The 7,894-nt window shown below is 45.5% G+C and overlaps 1 protein-coding gene and 1 long non-coding RNA gene across 4 annotated transcripts; one reads left to right on the plus strand and one right to left on the minus strand.

Annotated features, from left to right (window-relative positions):
• Positions 1 to 267: 267 nt before the first annotated feature.
• LOC124901875 (uncharacterized) lies at positions 268 to 4,850 on the plus strand. Of its 2 annotated transcripts, none has more exons than XR_007060791.1 (2): positions 268 to 492; positions 4,633 to 4,850. It is a non-coding gene; the product is annotated as an uncharacterized LOC124901875 (long non-coding RNA). The 2 variants fall into 2 exon arrangements; XR_007060790.1 differs by lacking the exon at positions 268 to 492 and adding an exon at positions 1,624 to 1,695.
• DEFA3 (defensin alpha 3) lies at positions 3,957 to 6,385 on the minus strand. Of its 2 annotated transcripts, XM_011534741.3 has the most exons (4): positions 6,310 to 6,385; positions 5,421 to 5,464; positions 4,764 to 4,950; positions 3,957 to 4,187 (listed from the first exon to the last, which is right to left on the minus strand). In XM_011534741.3, the coding sequence occupies exons 2-4, from the start codon at positions 5,427 to 5,429 to the stop codon at positions 4,078 to 4,080; spliced, it is 306 nt and encodes a 101-aa protein (XP_011533043.1). In that variant the 5' UTR covers positions 5,430 to 5,464; positions 6,310 to 6,385; the 3' UTR covers positions 3,957 to 4,077. The 2 variants fall into 2 exon arrangements, with proteins under 2 accessions (XP_011533043.1, NP_005208.1); NM_005217.4 differs by lacking the exon at positions 5,421 to 5,464.
• Positions 6,386 to 7,894: the final 1,509 nt, after the last annotated feature.

Raw genomic sequence — 7,894 nt, forward strand, 5'->3', positions numbered from 1 at the left:
GGTGTCTTTTCATAGAGCCCTAGATGAACAGAGGGCAATTTTCACAGTATTGGTGACAAATTGGACTTGTACTTTGTGTGTGTAAATCTCAGCTTCTCTAAAATATTGATGAAATAGGAGAGAACTTTCTCAATTGAATCCCAAAGTGTCACAAAGAGCCCATTGTGGTGGGGGCATGGAATTGTGGACTCTTTGGAGAGACTGAGGAACCCCGTCTCACCCATTCTTAGTTTGAATTTTTCCTGTGGGGAGCTGGGGTAGTGTGGGATCCAGGTGGAGTCTCAACCTCTCCCCTCAGTGACAGACTCAGAGGAGGGTGTGGAACTCCAGAGCTGGCTGAAACAACGGAGAGAGAAGTAGGGGTTTTCTCCCGGAGATCAGCTATGAAGTCCCAGGGAAGATGACCATTATTCACACGGCTGTCATCTGGGGAGAGACCCCAAGTTAAGATCAAGAGAAAAAAGCGGGAAACAAAATGGTAAAGACAACAAGGTAACTCATGCCTAGAGTCCTTGGATCAGGCATTTTATGAAGCCAGAAGTCTTTCTTTTCTTTTCTTTCTTTCTTTCTTTTTTTTCTTTTCTTTTTTTTTTTTTTTTTTTGAGGCAGAGTGTAGATCTGTCACCCACGCTGGAGTGCAGTGGTGCGATCTTGGCTCACTGCAACCTCCACCTCCCAGGTTGAAGCGATTCTCCTGCCTCAGCCTCCTGAGTAGCTGAGATTACAGGCACCCACCACCACACCCGGCTAATTTTTCTATTTTTAGTAGTAGAGACAGTTTTCACCGTGTTGCGCTGTCTGGTCTTGAACTCCTGACCTCATGATCCACCCTCCTTGGCTTCCCGAAGTGTTTGGATTACAGGTGTGACCCACTGTTCAGGTGGGGCATTCAAAATGTTAATTCAGCTTGTTGTGGTTTCTTAAATTTGAGTGCACAACTCCGCTAATATGCCTGAAAAAGATACAACAAAAATTACCCAGATAAGAGAAGCTGAGGCAAAATGGTGCAGTGCATAAGAATAGGAAATGAGAGCGGATGGCAGGTGTCCTGGGTGCAGCCTGGAGAAGAGACTCCTGGATGATTCCCATGCACAGCCCTGGGGGAGAACAGCCTTATTGATGCTGATCAGCAGAGAAGGAGGGACGGCTATGTGAGAGGCTGGAGGACAATGGGTGTGTCAGGGACAGGAATTTCATAAGTGATGTTCAGAGATGGAGGAATTCCAGGTGGTGCAGGAGTTAGGGAGTAGCCATGGGGTGGAAGGCTGGAACGAGGTGGCAGTCCCTGTTATCCAGGAGGACACAGAATTGAGATGTTGGGAGGTTGACTTCTAGGAAATGTTAGAGTGAGCTCTTTCCCTTAGTTTCTTCATGAGTTATTTGTTTTTTTCGTGAACACGGAAAAAATACAGATATTCCTAAAATGGAATGAGTTCTTTTCAGATCTCTTTCCTTCTGGTTTTGCTTATAAGCCGAGTTTAGAAAATCAGAACAGTAACAGCAAAAGAAACCTATTTCATTTTTTGTACAAGTAAAAATTAACCAAGACCTTTTAAAAATGTGAAGGAAGCACTTATTGAAGACTGTTGAAATGGGAGTCAGAACGTTGCAACAGGGAGAGCCGTTGGCCTCAACTTTCCTGAAGCCAAAGCGGGAAGGTTAAGGCCTGGGTGAGCTAGCGGAAATGCACTGGAGGTTGGTAGTGGGAGTCTTGCAGTGTGATTGGGCCATCTGCGTTTGCTAGTTTGTGCTTATTGGAGTTAGGCTCCTGCCTGCCTACAGAGACAGGGCTGCTGTCCCCTTGAGTAGTTACATTTAAAGGGATGAGGCATCTAACTTATTCCTTATTTCCTTGTCCTGCCGCATGAATGGCTCATTTCCGGTAGAAAAGTTCTTGCATGTCATCACTAATCCTAGAGTGTATGTGCATCCCAGTAAACAGTGTTGTGCCTCATTTGAGGCTAAGCAAGTTGCCCTGGTTGTTTGGAGACCCTCACACCTCTCCCTGAATTCTCCGTCCCTAGAGTTTGCAGCAGTCATCGCCCACCCTAGACTGCAGTAGCAGAAGCCACATGTGGTGCTCCCAGTGTGCCTTTATCCACACAGAGGAGCAGGGAGGCTCCGTCCTCATCTGCCCCTTTCCCTTGAGTTGATGGATGCCTCTCAGCACATCAGCATGAATTCTACTCCGTCCTTCTCTCTGGCAACATCCATTCCTCTGAATTCAGTGGAGGTCCACCCTCATCCTGCATAGCTCTTGCCCTGATAGCATTCTGTCCACCAAACATTTCATTCTACCTCTGCTTTTAGTCATTCCATGTTTTAAACATATTGATGTTGTACTTGAAGATTCACATGGAATCTTTTTGCCTGCTTTAGCCGGAATGGCCTGCTTCTTCTAAGGTCCTAAAGCTTCATGATGCCAAATAGTACCCATGATGTTTTTTCATGTTTCAGCCTTGAATACTTTTATTTATTTTGTTTTTTAAAGGTGTGCTGTCATAGGGTCTAGAAAATGGACTGCTCTACCTCTGTTGAATTTAGCTTTTTCCTGTGGAATTTAGGAATAACAATTAATAAATCATTTTATATTGTTATGTGCTATTAGATGCAATTAGTTAATGTAATCAGAATTAATTTATTAACCCCCTACTTTATGTTACAGTCATCCATGCACTCTGGTACAACAATAAGCAAAACATGCAGCTTCCCTTCTGGAGTAAGGAGGCAAATGTTACGTATAGTAAGTGAAGTGTACAGGGAGTGAGATGGTTTCAATTCTATAGTTAGCAATGAGGAAAATCGGAGAATGGAGGTCAGCAGGGGGATCTTGTTGCAATTTAAGGTTGAGAGATCAGAAAAGACCTCAGTGACCAAGTGAAGTTTTAGCTGAGACCTCAGATGCTTGGGAGAAAGTCAGGTGGACCTCTGGCAGATGCCCCAAGATGCAGCCATCTTGATCCAGTTCATAGTTCAGAATACTATGGAAAGTTAATTCGGGGACCACATGATTCCAAGTCCATGGCAGTCACAGGAAGCCAAAGAAGGTTCCTGGGCTTCACACCGTGATTCCCTATTTGTGTCCTTCATCATCTAAACAAGAAGAAGTCTGGGATCATTACGCACTCTGTCCTCCCAGGGTTCTTGGTGGGCTTCCATATCCATGCAGTGTCTCAGTGGGTACCTGGGCCCCTGGGCTGCCTCAGCCCCCTGCAGCAACAAGAACGCTACCATGTTCCTGGTGAAATGCTTTCCCTCCCTCGTCCCTTATCCCCTCTGAAGCTGTATTTTCCAGGCAGAATCAGGTTCTCAGCAGCTTTAGGGTAACACAAGAGAGTGCGCGTTGCAAAGTGCGGTGGAGCATTTGTGTGTGTGTGTTTTCTGGGTGTGAAGACAACTGTATGATTGTGAAATCCAGGTCTTAGTAGACGTGGCTGGAGGGTCCTCTTAATGAGGACGTGCCAATGTGAGATGCTGTGCTTTCTGTTCCATGTATCCCGCCTTTGCTAACAACCCATTTCCCTCTGAATGAAAGTTTTTTCCGTGGATCTCATGTAACCCTATGTCTTAAAAGGAAAATGTACAATCTGACATTGTTCAATGAAACTCCAATTCTTTAGCACAGAGGATGGTTTTTTTTTCCCGGAGAAGTAATGATTTTGTGACTGCATGAAATGTAAGCTGACACCGACTGTTTGCCCAGCACACGCGAGCTCTTTGAGAGTGGATCCAGAGAAAATAAGGCAGGGTGAAAAGGCAGAGCAGTGGGTGGGGAAATCAGTGGTGTCATATGGGCCTTCTTTTCAATTTGGATCTGAAGCCCAAACTCCTGCTTGAAATTCCTAGAATTTGGAATTTTATATTGTTCAAAAATTTGATTTTGCGTTTTGGTACGTGTATCCCAAGTGTCTTGACACAGACACATATCACACATTAAAGAGGTGGAAACACAGAAATCTTGTAACAAGGCATTTATTTGAGATGAGGAAAGGAAATTGAGCAGAAGGTACAGGAGTAATAGCAATTCCCTGTAGCTCTCAAAGCAAATTTTGAGCTCATTTTTCTTTTTCTGCAAGCTCAGCAGCAGAATGCCCAGAGTCTTCCCTGGTAGATGCAGGTTCCATAGCGACGTTCTCCTGCAATGCACGCTGGTATTCTGCAATAGCAGTCCATGTTTTTCCTTGAGCCTGGGACAGGGAGAGCATGAGAAATTGAGTATGGAGTTAGCAGTGGGTAAGAAAAAGAATCTCGGGGAAGTCACATGCTAGCTGACAGGTGATGCTGGCTGCATTGCAGCCGTTAGCACGAACAACCTCAGTCGATAGGAATAAACACGCAGAGCAGTGCTTGTCACACAGAATTTGAGACTCATTCTCCTTTGCTCTCATTTTTGCATTCCTGCCCCATCACACACACACCTGAACATACCCTCAGGCTTGGCTGCAGTTTTTAAAAGCTCTTCTGTAGAGTAAAATGTTCTCTTTACAACTAAGTCTACTTGTTTAGATCCAGAAATAACTAGTCTGTCTCTTCATATCTTAAACTTAGTGAATTTCACAGATGTTTCTTGGAATCAAGTCTTTGGAGAAATAAAGTTTCTCAGGTTTATTTGGCTCTCTGTTCAATTTCTAGATGAGAAAATCAATGCCCAGAGATTCTAAGTGAAGCCACCTCAGTGACATAGACTGCTGAGACCCAACTCTGGAACCTCTCTCCCGTCCTTCCCTCTAGACTTAGCAGCTCTGCATGCCTGCCTCTCTCACCTGGATGCTTTGGAGCCAAGCTTTCGTCCCATGCAAGGGAAACAACCACTTCTGGGATGTCCGCTGCAATCTGCTCCGGGGCTGCAGCAACCTCATCAGCTCTTGCCTGGAGTGGCTCAGCCTGGGCCTGCAGGGCCACCAGGAGAATGGCAGCAAGGATGGCGAGGGTCCTCATGGCTGGGGTCACCTGGAGGAGGGAGAGCAGGAGCAGCTGTGTGGGGAGGGAGGAGCCAGCCTGGATTTATAGCTCTACTGGGAGAAGGCTCGGAGACAAGAAACCTTCCTCAATCTCAGTGAGAGGAGGTGTGCATTTTACAAGAGAGGCCCATTGGTCTCAAGGTTGCTCGAATGCTCCTGTTCTCCCAGTTTCATGCTAGTATACATCTGTACCTTTAATGTCTGTGCTAGGTTGGAGCTAATAATGACAAGAAAGACCCTGCTATGTTACTCGTGGGTTCACCTGCTTAAATATTATGATTTACTTTTTAACATTCCAAAAAGAATAGAAATTGCACTTTGATTCAACAGGCTCAGGGAACAAATGCTTCTTATTTTCTGAAGATGGGTCCTGCTGTTCTCTGGAGGTCTAGATTCTGGTGTCCTATATGAGTTCCAATGGAATAGCGAGTAATTCACTTCAGGATTCAGGTGACTTACCATCCTCATGAAGAGGTTTTTGAGGTTATGGGGTGAGTAGTCTCCTGTAGGAATCAGGGTGGAGAGGACAATGATTTTATCAGGCTAAAGGTGAAATCAGCTCAGTGACACAGAGTGGTTTAAGTAAAAAAAAGAAAGTTTATTATTTCCACCTCTACTTAGACTTGAGTAACAATTAACAATTGTATATTTATAGTGTACACTACCTCATGATTTTATATATGTATGTATTTAAATCTTTATCTCACACCATGTAGAAACATCAACTCAGAATGAATTGAAAACCTAAATGTAACAACTGAAACCATAAACTACTAGAAGTGTATAGAAGGATAAAGCTTTTGACATTGATGTAGGTAATGATTTCTTGGCTATGACACCAAAGGCACAGGCAATAAAAGGGAAAATAGACAAGTGTGGCTTCATTTAACGCTAAAGCATCTGCACAGCAAAGGAAACAATCAACCGAGTGAAAAGATAACCCAGAAAATGAGAGAAAATATTTGCAAAACCTACATGGCAGAAGGGGCAAATATCTGAATACATAAGGAATTCCAACAACTCAATAGCAAAAATCAAACAACCTGATTGAAAGACAGACCAAGGACCTAAATAGGTTTCTCTCAAAAGAATGTTCCAAAGACCTGTGATAGTCTCTACTGGACATGTCAACCAGGACATGTGTGTTTAGAAGGAAACTGCTTGAGTTTCTCTATTAAGTTAGCTGGAAGCCATCGTCCCCAGCAGTCACCAGAGGTCCGGACAGACGTTCCTAGCAGGGATTCACCCGCTGGGTCCCTCTGGGGCGGCCCCACAGTCAGAGGTCAGATTGGAGGCATAGCTTCAATGATGAAAACTCAGTGTAAAGTTTAAGTTTTGTAGTACTTACAGATCCTCTAGCTAGGCAGGGTGACCAGAGAGGGCAGACAGCAGTCCTCTGTCCCAGGTCTTCTATAGCAAGGAGCAGCCGTGCACAAGTGGACTTCCCCTATTTAAAGGTCTTTTGGGATGAGGTGTCCTAATTTCCGGGGTTACTTTCTGTTGGGTCCATTAAATAATTGTGGTGGCAAGGACAGTTGAGAAATTTGGTGGGAAGGTGAGGTTAAAGTAGAACTCCACAGAGGAACCTCTCATCTACCTTGGTCAGCCCTGGCCAGGCCCAGGCAGCAACCAACTATGGATTCTCAATGGCTCCTAACACAGTTGACCCTGTGATGCATTGGCTGTGGCTAAGCTGAACTACCTGCACCAAGGGAATATTTAAAGCCTCTGGGACAACCTGGCTGCGTATCATAGTATACGCCCTGCAAAGAGACTAGGATAGGAATGCCACCTGCACACAGAGGAGGATTTGGAATGTGTTTCTAAAGCAGTGTCCCGAGGACCTGAGGTCTAACCATAAAAACTAATGAAAGCCATTTGGCTGAGCTGGGATGTTGGAGAACACCCAGGTGAGACTGAGTGCTACCTGGGCTTCTGTTGCTATGTGGAACAGACATTTTTGGGTTCTCCTGAGTACTGGATGTACACGCGGCATGTGGTTCCCCAGAGGTGACTATCACCTGTTTGCTTGGCCAATGAACAGTTTAAGGTTAAACAATTGTCTAGGATCATCTGGGCCAGGAACTGGTCTGAGGCATTAGCCATCAGGGTGGGAGTGGCCTTTCCAGATGGCCACCCAAGAAGGGAAGTGGGAGTCTGGGCATTCACTTTACTGCTGGTGTTGGACAGCCTCTCAGCCCTTGTGGGTCTTCAGAGAAGCATTTAGCAAAAGCTTGAGTGGTGCTTTCTGGGAGGCATAGGAGTTTCCATCCTTAACTGGTACCCATCGGAGAACAGGCGTATCCCTTAGCCCATGATCCTGTCTGGATGCTTTATGTGAATGCAAGGCTCCAACTCTTCAGGCTGCTGTCTGGGTGTGTGCTGCGGCATTGTTAGCCCATTTGGATTGAAGCCTATGCATCCAGAGAACTACCTCCTCATCCTTAAAACACGATCTGTGGTTGTGAGGGCTGCTGGTGTTTAAGCATTGGTGCCATGGGACCCATTCAATATCTAAGGGTTGAGTTGCCCACCTTGGACACAGGTCAGGTTGTATTTGGGGTACAGCCCCTCTAACAGGGCTTACAGGGAATTCCCCAGTTTTCCAGTCTGGGGTACAAATTCTGACTAGGGCTGTCTTGTTCCAGCAGCCCTCTAGGCTGCCAGGCCTGGGTTAAACAGCTACCCCACAAGCCATTTGTACATAAGATACCAAGCAAGGCCAATCATAGAGAACACTGACATCTTGTCACTCAGGGCTTTCTTCCCAGTGCTTCTATATTGACACTGATGATGGGGTTGGCTGGCACCCACTTTTCCTTGGAGCCTTTCTCCCCCATGGCCACGTTTGGTGATGGCACTTCCATATGGTCTTTGCCTGACGTAGTTGGTGTCTCTAGTTTGAAGGCTTCTTCTCCTCGTTACTGCCTCTG

This window comes from Homo sapiens, chromosome 8 (assembly GCF_000001405.40).
Source record: "Homo sapiens chromosome 8, GRCh38.p14 Primary Assembly".
NCBI lineage: Eukaryota > Metazoa > Chordata > Mammalia > Primates > Hominidae > Homo > Homo sapiens.

What these genes read in the sequence shown, in the direction of transcription:
- DEFA3 (XM_011534741.3), bottom strand. An exon ending in CTTGGCTCCAAAGCATCCAG is followed by an intron (nt 4,188 to 4,763) that starts GTGAGAGAGGCA and finishes TCCCTGTCCCAG; the next exon opens with GCTCAAGGAAAAACATGGAC.